The sequence below is a fragment of the Homo sapiens genome, chromosome X, assembly GCF_000001405.40.
Source record: "Homo sapiens chromosome X, GRCh38.p14 Primary Assembly".
NCBI classification, from domain to species: Eukaryota; Metazoa; Chordata; class Mammalia; order Primates; family Hominidae; genus Homo; species Homo sapiens.
Window position 1 is genome coordinate 90890773 of NC_000023.11, and position 20255 is coordinate 90911027.

Sequence of the window (20255 nt, forward strand, 5' to 3'; positions counted from 1 at the left end):
CATAACATATGCCCAGATACTTCGCCTCTTTTTCCAAGATTAGCATTCAATCACTGGGCTATATATAATCCATTTTATGGCCATTTTGCAATGCCTTAACTAAAGAAGTAATTACATTTAGTTATCAAGAAGTTATCTGCCTCATTATAGGCAATGGTCATTGGATAATCTCAGGTGTGATACTTTTGCCCAACTTCCACAGGATAAATTGACATGTGAGAGGATGGACTGGAGTAACTGTCCCAACTAGTTGAAAAAAGAGATAACTAATATTTTCCTTATCTTTTAAAAAGGCCTTTAAGATGTACTTTAACTTATATAATGGGCATCAAAAGAGATACAAGCTTGATGTAAAATGCTTTATAAGGCATATTTTATGCACTTATGTGTTTCTTATTTAAAGGAAAATCTGCATTACTGATATGCTATAAGGTACCCTCCAACACAAGTGGATAAAAATCTGTTTTGAATGCTTGGAGATACTTCATATGTCTTCTCTTTAGATCTATGTTTTTCTATTTTTTAAAAGAGTTTATTAGACAGAAACAAAGCAAGAATTAACACTCCAAGTTAACACCCTTTTCTTGGTGCTTTACTATAACATAACTTGCAGATGGTGGGAAGAGGAGGAAATTTTGGATTAGATAATAATATTTACATAGCTCAGGCTTGTATACATTTTACAACATGTAAGCTGTGTTTGTGTTTCTGGTTCAATTAAAAGTATTTTGAAAACATTGCATTTTTTGCTAAGCAATACATCTTGATGGATTAAGTGAAAACATTCGGAAAACATTATTTGTATTTCATAGTGTTTCTATGACCTCCAGAAAGAAAATTGAAAGTATTTGGTAGTAATTTGTGAAGAATCACTTTTGGATTTTGGAAAGATTTTAATAGCTAGATATAGTGTAGATAAAATATTTCTGTAGAACTGCTATTTCCAAAGAATATCTAGAAGATTTCTGGATAGTTTCAGTAATAATGAAAGGGATAGAAAACTGTTTTTATCCAAAGTTCAAGGAAAATCTATTAAATGTGTATTTTTTCTATAAATAAATGAGATCACTTTTAATAGGCTTATTATATTTTCTATGAAAGCTGATGACCCCAATATGACTATTCTTCATGTGGAAATATAAAATTTGAAAGTTGTGATGCTTTTATATATGTTGATATTTCTAGACTGGTAATCATATATACATTATATATATATATGCAAATATATTTACAACAAGAATTTAAAAAGCAAAAATTTATTTTCATATACGAAAATATACATTGAGAGTATCACCTACTGGTTAGGACATGTGATGTGGAGTTAGACTGTTTAGTTTGAATCCTGGAGCAATCACTCCTTAATTTTGTGACCTTGATCAGGTTGCCTATTTTCTCTATATCCAGTGATCATTGCGTTAAATGAGAAAATAGAAAGCACATAGAAAATAGCTAAAATATAACACAATATTATTATCTATAGTTCCATGGCTTCTTTATTATTAGTATTATACATTTCATTTGCCTTCTATCTCCTATCTCTAATATTATTTTTTCCTAATGTTTAGTTCTCACTCAACTATTCTATGAGCATGTTTTCTCTTCTACCTTTTTTTGCTGCTGAGGCCTCATTAATTGAGCACGCTAAAAAAAAAAAATCATGGATGTGCACAGTTCAAACTGTTCAAGAAGAGATTTGCAATTCAGTTACAAAAATGCCTTTTTCTGACAGCCTCTGCTTGTCAGTGTCTTCTGGATGTGCTTAGCGTTTGAGCCATGCCTTTCCTCTTTCCAGGCAGCCCCCAAGCAATAACTGAGCATGACCGGTCGAGGGCCTAGGTATATCTGCCTGATGAGATGCTTCATTAAGGGGCAGTATTTGCTGCAGGTCACTCTATAGGTTTGGTCAAAACCTTTCACCAGAGTCTGAAGAGTATCTACCCAATTTTGCTTCCTCCTGCCTTTCCCTCCATGCATATTCCATCCACAGGCAATCATAAGAATATTGTATTTTGCTTCCTTCCCATTGTATCACACACAGACATTGCTACCCCACACCCCCAAATTTCACTTTGACACTCCAAATCTACCTCAGCATCTGCCTTACAGGGTAACTGACAGACAAAATTGGTGACTGAAGTGAACTAAAAAAGCAGTTGATAAGATGAGAATTGACAATTAGTACCTTATTCCAGGAGGTATGTGAGGCATGGAGTCACTAACACAAGATGATGGCTCAGTTTCTCAGACATTCACCAGTGGTGAATTGGGAGAAAGTTTCCAGTGGATGAAATTGTCTTCACCTATGTGATGATTCAGCCTCTTGAAAAGTAAAGATGTTGGGGAAATTATGTGTAAAAGTACAGTAGAATTTGTTGGTTTTAACTAAGATGCATTGATGCTCTAAAAGAGTAGTTAATATACAATTAAAAATTAAATCTAAAGACCAAAGGGCCTTTTTGGCAGTTCACCAAGTGGCCCTTATCTCCATAGAGGAAAAACAGAAAAACTACAAACAAAGCTCAGGTATAATAGTTACAGTAACAAAGCTAAAATGGTTACTAAATACATAACTGAGTTCTGTTATGTCAAAGTCTGGAGACTTCTTGAGAAAATCTGAGACCAGGACTCATTGTATTGGGGCAACTGAGTAGCTAGCCATGAAGAATTTTACTGTTTAGGCACCTCTGTTCCTCAGGACCCACAACAGTGACACTGATTTTCTTAAGGACTACAATTCCCACCATCTGGGAAGATACTACAGAGCTGTTTTCCCTGGAAGGATACAGTTCCCCTCCGAAACTGCACCTAGATCTTTTGTAGATGCCAGGCCAAGTATTAGGGATGATCCACAGCATAAATCTACTATTGACATTCCATGGGGATACACATAGATTTAGATTTTTAGAGTGCTTGATCAGTGGGGACAGATTATAAGACTAGATAAATAAGGCTATTGACTTTGAGGACCTCTCTCAAGATACAGAATTTATTGCCTGTCAGGGTCCCTAGTAAGGCAAACATACAGCTAAGATAGTCCCTAGAAAATTAAAGAAAGTGGTGATCCATGCTGAGTGAAGTGGAAATGTCTGATTTGTGCTGGCATGTGGTAAAGGAAGAACTAAAGAGCCTATGGAGATGGAAAGTTTGGAATAGATACATTATGTGAAGCCAGAAGACCTAGCAGAGTATTATATTCCATTGGAGGACCCAGAGGACACACCATTCATTGAAGCCACTGGGTATGCACTGAGGAGAGAGGCACTAGCTTTCCTAAGAACTTGAGGGGTGGATCTCCTCTGCAGGCTGGGGCTCAATGTAGGATAGGTAGTCACAGAGCTGGGCTCATTAATATCCATGGGGATGATGTCTTTCACTCCTTCCACCCACAAGTAATAGAGATGAGGTGATAGTAGAGATAGTTCAAAGAGAATGGCATCCCTAGGAGTAACAAGAATATTGCTTTATATACATATAAATACATGTATAACAATATACAATTTATATATATATAAATTGTATATTATTGTATATTATTCTTGCTTATTCGGTTTTATTTGGAATATATATATATAATTTTTTCCAAATAAAGGAAAACAGAATAAGCAAGAAGCTGAGGGCAAACACCTCACAAAATATCTTGGCTGCTGCCCAATTTCAGGACTTTAAGGAACATAGTTAGCCGCAGGCTTCAATTTTTTTTTTTTTTTTTTTTTTTTTTTGCGGAGACAGGGTTCTTGCTCTGTCACCTGGGCTGGAATGCAGTGGTGCAATCTTGGTTCACTGAAACCTCTGCCTCCCAGGCTCAAGTGCTCCTCCCACCTCAGTCTCCTGAGTAGTTGGGACTACAGGCGCAGCCACGCCAGGTTAATTATTTGTATTTTTTATAGAGACAAGGTTTCACCACGTTGCCCAGGCTGATCTCGAACTCCTGAGCTCAAGTGATCTGCCCACCTCAGCCTCCAAAATGCTGGGATTAAAGGCATGAGCCACCATGCCCTGCCCATGATTCAATATTCTTTTAGAAAAATGTCAGGGAAGACAAATATACTTCATCTATTGATAAACCATCTATTATTTTAGAGAAGTGCATTTGTGAAAATAAGGACATGTCTGAGCTAGACAATCATTTTGAAGAAATTGGGGATAACATCAGAAGAAGCAATGCCAAAAGTACCATATACTCCTTCACTGTTCTCAACTATATTTTTATCAGTATCGTGTATCCCGCAGATATGCTCAAGGCCCTAATTAGCCAGTATCTAGTTAATAATGGTCATTTCATCAAAGGATTATGCTGCTTTTTATATCTAGGAAAAATAGGGAGAAACACAATCTATTCAGTCAAAATTTTAAGGACAATTTTCACAGAAAATAGTGTGATTATCACTGAGAACCTACGCGCTCCTGAGAGAGCACAAACTAATATACAACAACATCTGGCAAGTTTTACATCTCACTTGGCTTTAATTTAATACTGTCTAACAACAAGAAAAATGGAAGGTATCACTTAAACAGCAAAAGACCAGGTCATTCCAAAATTGTAGGTGTACCCATACCTCTGTTGAAGAATACAGGTCTGGTGGGAGAAAAGCTATGATAATATATGAGTTCAATGGAGAGCTGCTGGCGTAAGTGTCTACAAAGGACTACCTCATGAGTCCGGAAGGCATATATGTTTCTTCTAAGGAAAACATTCTTTATTGCTCTCAAAAATCTTGAGGTTTACCTGTTTGTTGTAGGGTAGTCACAGTGCTTCCTTTCCCACCTTTCTCATTTTTGTTACTTCCACAATTATTTTCCCAAATTTTGGGGCCTCAAACTCCAAAGCCATTTTTTGATTGCTCCCTCTCCTTTAATCCTCACATCTAATTAGGGATACAGGAAATATTTACAAAGGCCTGATTTGTCACTCTATAGTCATGCTGAAAACTCATATGTCCGACTGCATGCTAGTGACCAGTGCCAACACATGACAATGCTTCATTAAGTAAATAGCCGAAACTGAGAAGCCTGACTTGATCTGCAGTAAATGAGGTGATTGGTTTTGAAATAAAACAGCAAGGACTTATTGAAGAAACATTCTGCTGAAACTTCTCCTCCCGTATTGAACTCAATTCACAGGTCTTTAGTGTAATAAAGATTTGCTGCAAGGATATTAACCAGGGATAAAAGCATATTCTTAGCACAGCTACACTAGAGTCTTATTTTAAAAAGCCTAAGTCACTCCAGAGTACGCAGAAAAATATATCTAAACAGCATGTGTTGTATGGCTTTTTTCTTGAATGCCTGATTTTCCATATAGGGGCTTAATTGAAATTCAAATGTTCTAAACTTGATGAATAAAACTTAATAAACATTTCTTTATTTTATGTAACTGAAGAAAAAAAATCTGTCAAGCTGCTAGTCTCCAAAAGCATTGTATCCTACCCCAATTTGTCATATTGAATTTGATCTAGTCTTTTTTTTTTCCAAAATTCAAATATTATCACAAGCACTGTGTAGATCAAACCTTATTTATTTGATGATAAGATCTAGCCTTTGGGGTTTCTTATTCTTTGAATAAGATGAAATGGTTCTTTGAATGGTTCCATTCAAAGAATAAGAACCATTTGCAGAAACCTGCAATTGTTTCTTTTAAGATAGCATCTGAGAACAAGAGCAGTTTATATATTCTCATAGAATTATGGAAGAGTCATTTGATATCATCTCTCTGTACTCACTGTATTGTTTTTAGTTTACTTGAGCCCCCCTGCTTCTACCTTGCTATGGGCCAAGGCAAAGCTATAATACTCACCCTTTTAGTCAACTTGGCAGCTGTCTTAGAAACCGAGGACTTTTTGGCTGCTTTCTTTGCATCAGGTAGGAGCTTGAGGCTTTCGCTGAGATCTGTGAACCCAGACCCTTGTCTCAGCTCTAGCTACACTACTGTGTCTGTGCCATATTGAATTCAACAGTGTCAAACACAGGCTTCCAGAATACTCATGATGTGGGCAGAAGAGCTGAATTTTATTATATTTTCAAAACTCATTTGTGTACCTTTATATTAACTTTTGCTTTTTATTTCTTTTTGTTTTATTTTTATTGTGTGCATACACAGTTATAGTAGCTGCAAATATTTAAAGGGTACATGAGATACTTTGATACAGTCATGCAATAAGCAATAATCACATCATGGAAAATGGGGTATCCAGCCCCTAAAGCATTTATTCTTTGTATTACAACAATCCAATTATACCCTTTACTTATTTTTAAATATACAACTGGATTATTATTGACTGTAGTCATCCTGTTTTGTTATCAAATACTAGGTCTTATTTACTGTTTCTAATTCTATTTTTTGTTCCCATTAACCATTTCCACTTCTTCCCAAGACTCCCAATACCATTCCCAGCCTCTAATAAACATCATTATACTCTCTATCTCCATGAGTTCAATTGTTTTGATTTTTAGCTCCCACAAATAAGTGAGTAAATGCAAAGTTTTGTCTTCATGTGCTTCACTTATTTCACTTTACACAATGACCTCCAGTTCCATCCATGTTGTTGCAAATGACAGAATCACATTATTTTTTACAGCTACATAGTACTCCATTGTGTGTAGGTACTGTATATTCTTTATCAAATTATTTGATGATGGATATTTAGGTTTCTTCCAAATTCTGGGTATTGAGAACAGTGCTGCAACAGACATGAGAGTACAGATATCTCTTCTAGATATTGATTTTTCTTTCTTCTAGGTATATACCCATCAATGGGATTGCTGGACATTATAGTAGTTCTATTTTTAGTTCTTTGAAAAACCTCCAAATCATTCTCCATAGTGGTTTTACTAATTTATTCCCACAAACAATGTACAAGCGTTCCCTTTTCTCCAGATCCTCTTCAGCATATATTGCTGACTGTCTTTTGGATAAAGGTCATTTTAATTGGAATGAGATATTTCATTGTAGTTTTGAATTGCACGTCTTTGATTATCAATAATGTTGAACACCTTTTCATATGCTTGTTTCACATTTGTATTCCTTCTTTTGAGAAATGTCTATTCAAATTGTTTGCCCATTTTAAAAGTCAGATTATTAGATTTTTTTCCTAGAGTTGCTTATGTTCCTTTTATATTTTTAATCTCTTGTCAGATGAGTAGTTTGCAAATACTTTTTCCCATTCTGTGGGTTTTCTCTTCATTTTGTTGATTGCTTCCTTTGCTGTGCAGTAGCTTTTTAACTTGACTTGATCCCATTTATCAATTTTTGCGTTGGTTGCATGTGCTTGTGGGGTATTGTTCAAGAAATTTTTGCCCAGTCCAATGTCCTAGAGAGTTTCCCCAAAGTTTTCTTGTACTAGTTTTATAGTTTGAGGTCTTAGATTTAAGTATTTAATGCATTTTGATTTTATTTTTGTATAAGCTGCAAGATAGGGGTCAAGTTTTATTCTTCTGCATATGGATATCACGTTTTCCAGCACGATTTATAGAAGAGACTGTCATTTCTCCAGTGTATGTCCTTGGCATATTTGTGGAAAATTAGTTCACTCTAGGTCTATGGATTTCTTTCTCGGTTCTCTATTATGTTGTATTGACCTATGTTTCTTTTTTTATGCAAATACCATGCTATTTTCGTTGCTATAGCTCTATAGTACAATTTAAAGTCAGGTTATGCAATTCCTCCAGTTTTGTTCTTTATGCTCAGGATACTTTTGGCTAATATAAATCTTGTGGATCCATATAAATTGTAGGATTCATTGTTTATGTTTCTGTGAAGAATATCATTGGTAATTTGATAGGGATTGCATTGAATCTGTAGATTGCCTTGTGCAGTATGGACATTTTAACAATATTGATTCTTCCAATTCGTGAACATGGAATATCTTTGCATGTTTTTGTATCCTCTCCAATTTATTTCCTCAACATTTTACAATTTTTATTGTAAAGATCTTTTCCTTCTTTGGTTATTTTCTAGGTACGTAACTTTATCTGTAGCTATTATAAATGTGATTACTTTCTTGATTTCTGTTTTAGATTGTTTACTGTTCACATAAGAAATGCTATTAAGTTTACATGTAAATTTTGTATCCTGCAACTTCACTGAATTTGTTTACAAGTTCTAATAGCTTTTGTTGGAGCCTTTAGGTTTTTCCAAATATAACTCCATATCATCTGCAAATAAATATACTACTTTTACTTCTTCCTTTCTAATTTGGATGTTCTTTATTTCTTTATCTTGTCTGATTGCTCTAGCTAAGACTTCTGATAGTGTGTTGAATAACAGTTGTGAAAGTGGGCATCTTTGTCATGCTCCAGGTCTTAAAGGAAAGGCTTTCACTTTTTTCCCATTCAGTATTATACTAGCTGTGGGTCTGTTATATATGGCTTTTACTATGTTGATGTATGTTTCCTCTATACCTAGTTTTCTGATGGCATTTATCATGAAGGAATTTTGAACTTATCAAATGCATTTTCAATATTAATTAAAATGATCATATGGTTTTTGTCTTTCTGTTGATAATGACACGTTATATTGATCAATTTGTATATGTTGAACCACCCTTGCATCTCTGGCATAAATCTCACTTGGTCATTTGAATGATTTTTAATGTATTATTGAATTGGTTTATTAGTAATTTGTCGAGGATTTTTACATCAATAATCATCAGAGATATTGGCCTGTACCTTTCTGTTTTTTGATATGTCTTTGACTGATTTTGGTATCTGTGTGGTACTGTCTTCATAGAATAAGTTTGGAAGTACTCCCTTCTCCTCTATATTTTTAGAATAATTTGAGTAGGATTGATATTCTTTAAATGTTTGTTAAATTCAGCAGTGAAGCCATCAGGTCCCGGGCTTTTATTTACTGGAAGCCATTTTATTATGGCATCAATCTTGTTACTTGTTGGTCTGTTCAGGATTTGGATTTCTTCATGGTTCAAACTTAGTAGATCATATGTGTCTAGGAATTTACCCATTTCCTCTAGATTTTCCAATTTGTTGGCATACAGTTGCTCATAGTAGCCATAATGATCCTTTGACTTCAGTTGTAATGCCTATTTTTTACATCTCTAATTTTATTTACTTGTGCCTTTTCTTGTTTTTCTTAGTTGGGCTAAAGATTTGTCAATTGTATTTATCTATTCAAAGACTAACTTTTCATTTTATCTTTTGTATTGTTTTCTTCATGTTGAATTTATTTATTTTTGCTCCTATTTTTATTGTTATTTCTCTTTTCCTAAATTTGGTTTTGGCTTGCTTTTTCTTTTCTAGGTTTTTAACATGCATTGTTAAATTATTTATTTGAAGTTTTTCTTCTTTTTTTGATGTAGGTATTTATCACTATAAATTTCCCTTATTGCTTTCATTTTATCTCATAGCTTTTGGAATGTGTTTTCATTATCATTTGTTTCAACAAATTTTTCAATTTTCTTCTTAATTTCTTTATTGGCCCATTGACCATTCAGGAACGTCTTGTGTAATTTCCATGTGTTTGTATAGTTTTCAATATTTCTTATTGCTTTGTAGGTTTATTTCATTGTGGTCAGATAAAATACTTGATATTATTTTAATTTTTTGAATCTTTTAAAACTTGCATTGTGACCTACCATGTTATTGAGAATAACCCATGTCCTGAGAAGAATGTGTATTCTGCAACTGTTGGATGAAATGTTCTATACATATCCACTGGATTCATTTTATCTATAGTGCAGATTAAGTCCCATGGTTTTTGTTTGTTTGTTTTTTCTTTTTCTGTCTGGAAGGTCTGTCCAATGCTTAAAGTCAGGTCTTGAAGTCTCCAGCTATTATTGTATTGAGGTCTATCTCTTTAGCTCTTATAATATTTGCTGTATATATCTCTGTGTTCCAGTGTTGGGAGCATATTTATTTACAATTGTTATGTCATCCTACTGAATTGACTCCTTTAATGCTATGTGGTGACCTTCTTTGTCATTCATGCAGTTTTTGTCTTGAAATCTATTTTGTCTGATATACATTTAGCTACAGCTGCTCTTTTTTTGTTTCCATTGACATGAAATATCTTTTTCCATCCCTTTACTTTTCACCTATGTGTATCTTTATAAGCATTGTATGTTTTTTTTGAAGGCAACAGATTGTTTTGTCTTCCTTTTTTTATCCATTCAGCCATCTCTATATTTTGATTGAAATGTTTAGTCCGTTTTCTTTTAATGTTTTTATTGATAAGTAAGAATTTACTCCTTCCATTTTGTTATTTGTTTTCTGGTATGTTTTATGGTCTTCTCACTATTCCTGTCTTCCTTTTAGTGAAGGTGATTTCCACTGCTGGTATTATTTAATTCCTTGCTTTTTATATTTTGTTTATCTATTGTATGTTTTTCAATTTGAGGTTACCATGAGGCTTGCATATACTGTATTATTTTTACTGGTGACAATTTAACACTGATTGCATAAACAAACAAGTAAGAAGACAACTAATAAAAAGTCCACACTTTAAGTTTTTCCCCACCTCCACTTTTTAACTTCTTATTTTTTCTCTTTATGTCTTATTGCAATGTTTCTTGAAAAATCAGTTATTATTTTAATTGTTTCATTATTTAGTCTTTCTACGTAAGAGTGTTTTACACAGCAAAATTACAGTGTTATAGTATTATGTGTTTTACCCTGTGCTATTACCAGTGAGTTTTGTACCTTCAGATGATTTTTTATTGATCATGAACATGCTTTTTTTCAGATTGCAGAACTTCCTTTAGCATTTTTTATAGGACTGGTCTAGTGTTGATGAAATCCCTCAGCTTTCCTTTGTCTGGAAAAGTTTTTGTTTCTCTTTCATGGTTGAATAAGGCTTTTGCTGGACATACTATTCTAGGATAAAAGTTTTTTTTCTTCATCACTTAAATAAGTCATACCACTCTCACCTCTCCTGTAAAGTTTCCACTGAAATGTCTGCTGCCAGATGTATTGGAACTCCATTGTATGTTATTAGGTTTTATTTTTTTTCTCTTGCTGCTTTTAGGACTTTTTTTAAACCTTTGACATTTGGAAGTTTGATTATTAAATGCTTTGAGGTATTTCTTTTTGGGTTGTGTTCTATTACTTTCTTGTACTTAAATATGGATGTCTTTCTCTAGGTTTGGGAATTTATCTGATATTATCCTTTTGAATAAGCTTTTTACTGCTCTTTTTTTACCTTCTCTGTAAGACCAGTAACTCTTAAATTTGCTCTTTTGAGGTTATTTTTTAGATCTTAGATCTTTAGGCATGCTTCTTTTAATTTTTTTTATTTTGTCTCTTCTGACTATGTATTTTCAAACAGTCTGTCTTGAAGCTCACTATTTTTTTCTTCTGCTTGATCAATTCTGTTAATAAGAGACTGATACATTATTCAGTATGTCAATTGCATTTTTCAACTCTAGAATTTCTGCTTGATTCTATTTATACATTTTAATCTCTTTGTTAAATTTATCTGATAGATTTCTGAATTCCTTCTCTGGGTTATTTTGAATTTACTTGAGTTTTCTCAATTTGCTATTTTGAATTCTCCATCTGAAAAGTCACGTATCTCTGTTTCTCCAGTATTGGTCCTTGATGCCTTATTTAGTTTGTCTGGCGAGGTCATTTTTTCTTGATTGGTCTTGATGCTTGTAGATGCTCATTGATGTTTCAGCATTTAAGGGTTAGGCACTTATTGCAGTCTTTGCAATTTGGGCTTGTTTGTGCTTCTTAGGAAGGCTTTCTAGGTATTTGAAGAAACTTGGGCCCCAAACTCAATAATGCTGTGGTTCTTGCACATTCACAGTGATACCGCCTTGCTGGTATTGTATAAGGATTCAGAAGAATTCTCTGGATTACCATAATGCAGAATCTCTTGTTCTCTTACCTTATTTTCTCCCAAAAAAACAAAGTGTCTTTTTCTCTCTCTCTGCTGAGCCACCTTGAACTGGGAATATGGGGACATAAGCATTGCTGTGGCCACCACCACAGGGACTCTGCTGGTTCAGACCTAAAGCAAACACAGCACTGGGACTCTCTCAAGGCCTCCTGTAACCACTATCTCACTACCACCTAAGTTAACTCAATGCCCTAGGGCTTTATAGTTAGCAGTTGGTAAAGCCAGCCATGTTTGTGTCCCTTCCATCAGGGCTGCAAGTTCTTCCAGGCCACCGTTGTGTCCAGAGATGTTGTCTGGGAGCCAAGTATTGAAGTAAAAAGCCTTGGAAATTTACCTGGAGTTCTATTCTGCTGCAGCTAAGCTGGTACTTAAACCACAAGACAAAGTCCTTCTCACTCTTTCCTCCACTTTTCATAGGCAGAGGAGCCTCCTGCTGTGGCCAGCACCACAACTGATTCACAGAGGGTACTTCCAGTCCACTGCTGATGTTCACTTAAAGCCCAAAGACTCTCAGTCACCTTTTGATGAATACTACCAAGCCTGGAATTTACCCTTCAGGGCAGTGGGCTCCCCTCTGGCCCAGGTAATGTCCATAAACATTGCTGAAGAGAGTCTAGGCCTGGACTCAGGGACACCAAGAGTGGTGGTGCTCTACTACTATAGCTCAAGTGGTACCCAAGGTACATGACAAAGTCCTCATTACTTTTTCCCCAGCTTTTCTCAAACAAAAGGAGTCTTTAATTATAGCAAACATTGCTGTAAATCTGCTGGGTTACATCTTAAGCCAGCACTTCTCAGAGCCCAAGGCCCATAGCATATTAACTGGGTATCGATGTTGATTATTTTGGGCCCAGGGTCTCTTTAGTCAGGAGGTGATGAATCCTGCCAGGTATCTTCTTTGACTGGGAAGCCGCGAGTTCAATGTAAAGTCCGCCAGTCACTGTGCTCTCTCTGTACCAAGAGTCCTGATTTATCTATGCCTTGTGGCAACTACCACTGAGTGAAGTAGGAATGGTGCAAGCATTCCCTCAGCCACCCTAACTGGTCTCTCATTAGTGTTCCCCTAGCCCACAGCCTCTGAGTCCAGCTCAGCACTATGACTTGCTTAGGAATTGCTGTCTTTGTAGGCTTCAAGTTTACTTAGAGCTCCAGGGTACTCCAGCTGTCAGTGGTGAAGCTTGCCGGAACTCAAACTCTGAGTGATGAGATGGCAATTCCCCTCTGACTAGGGCTGGTCCAACTGTTTCCTCCATTGGAGGATATCAGTTGAGTACAGACCAGTTCTCTTTTCTCCTGTGACAGCGCAGAACTTAGTTCAAGGTGAAGCCTCACAATTGCTGCACTCTCCCTCTGCCAAGTGCACAGGTTCTCTGCACTGCACAGCTATTGCCATGGGATGGGAAACAAGTGATGTTGGTGATTCAAGATTGTCTTCCCCGCTCTTTTCAGTGTGTCTTTCAGTGATGTGAAGTTAAAACCAAGTACTGTGCTCGTTCACCTAATTTTTATTTCTTCTGATGGTGCTTTCTGTGTGAAGTTGTTAAAATTTGGTGTTTGGAGGGGGAGCAGGGCAAATGATGTAGGCTACTATTCATTTATCTTTCTCTGCCTCTCTTTCTTTTATTTTAACCTTAAATCGTAACCTAGGAAATTCACAGCTGAAATTCTATATTCTATTATTTTCTTCCTTCTTGTTTCTATTTTTTTTTTTTTTTTTGAAGACAGAGTCTCACTCTGTTGCCCAGGCTGGAGTGCAGTGGTGCAATATTGGCTCACTGCAACCTCCACCTCTCAAGTTCAAGTCATTCTCATTCCTCAGCCTCCCGAGTAGCTGGGACTACAGGTGTGGGCCACAATGCCCAACTAACCTGTGTATTTTTAGTAGAGACGGGGTTTCCCGATGTTGGTCAGGCTGGTCTCGAACACCTGACCTCAGGTGATCCACCCACCTCGGCCTCCCAAAGTGTTGGAATTACAAGCGTGAGCCACTGCGTCCGGCATTCCTGTTTCTATTTCTACATCTCCATGTTCTTTCTCCAACTATCAGAGAGGCCATACTTCCAGCATGTGACAATCTTCTTTACTTCACATTGTCATCTTTTTGGTTCTGTGGTTTACTCTGGTAAAATTACAGCTTTGAGAATGTCAAGAAAGGCTTATAACTTAAGCTGAGCAATAACTTTTATGCACTTACAAGAATTTAGCATCATTTTCCTTCTTCATGGAAGGACTATTGATGAGAAAAACAAAAACAAACAACAATGTCTTCATTTGTACCATAAACTAGGTGGCTTATAAACAACAGAAATTAGTTTTTCACTGTTTTGGGGCCTTGGAATTTCAAGGTCAAGGGGACAGCAGATTTGCTGTCTGATAAGGGCCTGCTTTCTTGATCACAGAAGGGGCAAGGCAGCTCTTTGGGGGCTTCTTTTTTTATATAAGGGGACAAATTCCATTCATGAGGTTCCTGCTCTCATGATTTAATCATCTCCAAAAGGCCTCACTTCCTCACTTTGGGAATTAGATTTCAAGATTTTTGGGGAGACACAAAATTCATGCCAAATCAAACAGTAAGAATGACCAAAGTGGAGAAATACATCAGACCTTATCTCTATACCTATGTTTGTAAATCTATACAGTTTTATTTTATTTTCATTGACTCTTGTGATCTGTTTCTATATTTCTGAGCCAGACTGCCTTAGTCTAATTCTAGTTTTATCACTTGTAAGTATATGCTTTTCAACTAGTTAATAATCTCCCAATGCCTCAGTTTCCCATTTATAAAATGGAAATACTAATAGTATCTGCATCATAAGGTTGTTGGAAAGATTACCTGGGTTAATATATGTACCTACATGTAAAACTTTAGAGCAGTATCTAGCATATAGCCAGCACTAGATAAGAATCAACCTTTCAAATCTAAAATGTGTGTGTTTATATGTTTGTATTCATGTGCATCCTATGGTGATTAGTAATTGAGGAATTATTTAAAGATAACTTATACAAAATCACTGATTTTAAATCTAGTGTTTTCAATAGCAAAGACTTGGAACCAACCCTAATGTCCATCAATGATAGACTGGATAAAGAAAATTGGCACACATACACCATGGAATACTATGCAGCCATAAAAAAGAATAAGTTCATGTCCTTTGCAGGGACATGGATGAAGCTGGAAGCCATCATTCTCAGCAAACTAACACAGGAACAGAAAACCAGACACTGCATGTTCTCACTCATAAGTGGGAGCTGAACAATGAGAACATGGGCACAGGGAGGAGAACATCACACACTGGGGCCTGTTGGTGGGTGGGGGGCTAGGGGAGGGAGAGCATTAAGAGAAATACCTAATGTAGATGACGGGTTGATGGGTGCAGCAAACCACCATGGCACGTGTATACCTATGTAACAAACCTGCATGTTCTGCTCATGTATCCCAGAACTTAAGTATAATTTTAAAAAAAGAAAAAGAAAGAAAGAAAAAAATCATACAGTGACACTGGATTAAAAATATATATATATTTACTTAAAAATAAAAAAATAAAAAAATAAAATCTGGTGTTTTTACTTATTTATTTAAAATTACAATTGTAACTCCCAATTGGATAAGGGCACTTTTTCTGATTAAAAAAGTGAATACGTGTTTTCCCAGAAAGAGCAGGCACAACAAGGTTACATAGGCAGGAGTGGAAAAGGAGGCACTTTATATAGAATTAGTAAGTGGGGTGCCTTGAAGTCATGCTTTCTAGAGGACAGGCAGATAGGAATTAACTAATTTTAAAAATATTGTGCATACTGCTAGTTATCATAGAAGAACAAGTTCAAACAATGATATCTCAAGTATCAGCTTATCACTATAACATTAAGGAATCAAAGTACAGAAGAAAACAGAAGGACAAAATCTGTTCTAGTTCAGAAATATAACCTAGGGATTTGATCATGTTTTCTTATGTAACAACTAATAATTTTTGTAACACTAACTGAGGATTTTGCAAAATTCAGTACTATGATATTGTAAAAATAGCTTGATTATTTATAACTGTGATTATATTCACTTGAATGAATACCTCGTTTTAGATATTTCCTTTTTAATTAGAGAGTAAACAATGCAAAACAAAAATCATCAAATTTGGTTGTATGTGGAATTAAAAATACCTTATACTTGAGAGAACACAGTAGCTAAAATTAATCTCCTTGCTAATTTTAAAAATAAATTATATTCAAATTAAATTCAAATGTCCTATATTGGGTATGGCTTTTAATGGAGGCATTACTTTCGGATGTCCAGACCATAAATATTTTCTTTAAAAACTTTTAATCAACCCTGAGATACCAAGAAGAATAAAATTTAATTTTTTCTGTGACAAACTGAATTACAGATGTGTTTATTTGCATTAGCAGATGATAAGAAAAAATAGCTTTCAACACCTTGGAAAACACAAGTATAGTTACAAGTGCCCCAAATAAATAAATTAAAGAAAAAGCATTTCAAAAACAACGTGAATTATAATGAAGAGACAGGAATATTGAGTGAATTCAAGATGTGGACCCAGAAAATCTGAGACAGGTCTCTGTTAATTTAGAAAGTTTATTTTGTGAAGGTTGAAGACACACGCCCATGATACAGCCTCAGGAGGTCCTGATGACATGTGCCCAAGGTGGTCAGAGAACAGCTTGGTTTTTTACATTTTAGGTAGACATGAGACATCAATCAATATATGTAAAAACCACATTGGTTCTGTCTGGAAAGGCGGGATAACTTAAAGCAAAGGCAGGGAAACTTGAAGTGGGGAGGGGGCTTCCAGGTCACAGGTAGGTGAGAGGCAAAAGTTGCATTCTTTTGGAATTTCGGATTAGCCTTTCCAAAGGAGGCAATCAGATATGCATTTATCTCAGTGAGCAAAGGGATAACTTTGAATAGAATGGGAGGCAGGTTTGCCCTAAGCAGTTCCAAGCTTGAATTTTCCCTTTAGCTTTGTTATTGTGGGAGTCCAAGATATTTTCCTTTCACAAAAATAACGTTGTGCAAAATGTCTTTCAGAAACAATATGGGTTTTATATGTGTAAGTAAAAAAGAGCATATCGTATCAGAGATTATCTTTTGCCTTCATTAAATATTTCCAGTTGGAGATTTTCTTTACTTTGCCCCGCCTCTATATTTTCTGTCAACTCCTTCTGCCAGCCTCATGAATATCTGTGCTCCATATTCTAATTATACACTCTGCTCCAGGTGAAGCCCCTTATGCATATTATTGATGTCCATATTACTAAGATCAGTAATCGGTTTACCTAGAACTTATTTATACATTTATATCTACACTTTAATGAATTTTGTTCATTTACCCAGTTATGCTGTTTTCTTATGAACCATAAAGCTCAGAAATATGGAGCAAAGAAAAGATGATGGTAGAAATAAAAGTGCTTCCCCTGATAGGTATTTTGATTCCTCCTATCTTGTTCTTAGATCTGTCAGCAAGTGTTCCCTAAAATCTCCAACATTCAATACTCTCACAAGCTTATTTTAAACAGTCTTCACTTCTGACCTGTAAACAGAAAAAAAAATTGCGAGAGAAAAATAATTCTAAACATTCTCACTTTAAACATGCATTGTTGTTTCTCAGATGAAGTTCTTAGAATCATAATTTGCAGAAGAGTTTATCTTAAAACTTTAAGCTATCATATTGATCATATCTCATTAAAAACACATTTTCTTTCAAAGTCTTGAAATGCTAGCAAGCTTGTAGGTTCATATTTTACTTTATCTTATTCCCTTTGAACTCTCCCAAGTAATTTAATTTCTTAAATTCACCTTGAGCAAACTATTTTTTGCTATCTGCCAGAAAGCAGCTACCATAATCCAAGACCATGGTGGGCAATGTGATTTCTCTAAAGATAAATTCATTCTTATTATCTGATCACCTCTGGAGGATGAATTCCCCATGCTGTATGAATCTAGAATATTATTCATTAAACCTATTGAGCCTGCAACATGATCAAATACAGGTAGTACCTGTATAAAACCAGTGGAACTGTTGGAGTCAGGAAAATATAGTTCAGTTCACCACAGGATATTCCAATGACTATAAATTAATCAGCTTGCCTTTAGTACCTCCTCCAGATCCCAAGAGAGACAATACAAAGTAGGCAAAAATTGATTTGGGCCTAAGTTTAGAAATATCTCATTTTTGGTAGATTCAAACTTTGTAATGGTAGTTTAAAAAGACGTTTTCACAATTCCCGTATTTCTAAAATAATTTTAGACTTATCTGAATTTTTGTATTTAAATATCTAGAAGTTCAGAATTGAGGATTATTTGACTTAGGTTAAAATTTTTATTTATACCACCTATATAGTAGAGATAATTCAAAGCTTCTTGTCAGGGTTTTAGATTCCAAGCTTATGCTGCTGCTGACTCAGTGACCAGAGAGAGTTTCTTAAACTTTTCAGCCTCCATTTTCTCATGCATAAAATTAGTAGTATAGCAGGAGTGATACTTTAATTATTTAACAGCCAGTATTATAAAGGCACTGGCCAATCAACATAATTTCAATCAGAATAATACTAGCCAACAGGTGTAAATCAGGTTAAGTCAGCTGGCTTTATAAATTGTATTCAAAAGGAAGTCATTATACTAAGGCTAGAAATGAAGTTTCATCTCCTATGACATATTTTACTTATTGTGAATGGCTTCTTAAAATAGTATGTTGAGAGGAACAGTGAAGTCATATTTGGCTTCTGAGGAGAGATATTGCTCTGATAAATTAGCCACATTTTCCAGATGTATAGGAAAGTAAAGTGGTGTTTGTAGTGCTCTATTATAACATTTCTGGTGTTAAAAACTTGCTTAGAGGCTGCTTAATCTTAACACACAATTCTAGGTTATTTGAGTGGGCCCTTCTTGGAAAATCTTCAAAGTGAGCAAGACCCACAGATGCCTGCAGCAAGAGATTATGGGTGGAGACTTGGAATAGATGATCTAAGGCCCAAGAGGAGGCTGAGGTAAAACACTTTAGAAGATTAAGACATTTAAAAGTAGCCATGTATATAGAGAATCAAAAAGCCACACACAGGCCAGTAAAGATGTATACTTAGAAAATGTCTGAGAGACCTTAATCATTCCAATTTGGCTAATCACAAGACATATGTGATGGGTGATATTATGTGTCAAATTGACTGGGTTATGACGTGCCCAAATAACTTCTTAAACATTATTTTTGAGCATATCTCTAAGGGTGCTTCTGGAAGAGATTAGCATTTGAATTGGTGATGTGAGTAAAGAAGATTGCCATCACTAACATAGGTGGCATTATCTAATTCTTGAGAGCCTTAATAGAACAAAAAGGCAAAGTAAGCTTGAATTCACTCTCTGTCTGACTGCTTGCTCTGGGACATCAATATCCTCCTGCCCTTGGTGCTCCTAATTCTCAGGTCTTCAAATTTGGACCAGAATCTACACCATTGGCTCTCTGGCTCTCAGGCCTTCAAAGTGCACCACCAACATTCCTGGGTTGCCAGCTTGCATGTGGCAGATTGCAGGACTTCTTGGTCTCCATAATTCTGTAAGCCAATAATTTTGTAAGCCATAATACTGTAAGCCAATATCTTATAAATTTTGCGTGTGTGTGTGTGTGTGTGTGTATCTCCTAATGGTCCTGTTTTTTTTGGACAACCTGATCTAACACAGCCTAGAACATGCCCAGCTAATTAGTGAAGGATATTTTCCAGGCACAGAGCCAGTTCAAAAAGACTAGGAGAGGTGACTGATTTTTTAAAAAAATGCCCAACTTTCAACAAAATATATCCACAGGCATACACAGAAACATAAACATGCCCTGTTCAAAGGAAGAAAATAAAATAGCAGAAATCTTTTCTGAAAAATAGACACACATCTGACTTACCAGCCAAAAAAACATAAAACAATTATAAATATAATCAAAGAGCTAATAAAAAACATAAACAAAGGACTAAGGAAAACCAGGAAAATAATCTATAAATGAGAATACCAATAAGAAATATAAATTATGAAGAGGAACCACACAAAAATTTTGAAGATAAAAATATAACACCATATTTAAAAATTTCCCTGAGAGAATGAGCAGCAGGCTCAAACAGGTTAAAGAAATAATTAATGAAATAAAAGATAAGATATTTGATAATTTCCTGTCTGAGGATCAAAAGGAAAATTAAGGATGAAGAAATGTGAACAGAGCCTAAAAAAATATAGAACACCATTAAGCAAAACAATATTTGCACTATGGGAGTTCTAGGAAAATATAGACAGAGAAAGGGGAAGAGTGCTTATTTTAAGAAAGAATGGCCCAAAATTTTGCATATTTGAGGAAAGACATAAAGCATCAAATCCAAGAAGCTAAACAAACTCTATGTAAGTAAACCCATAAAGACC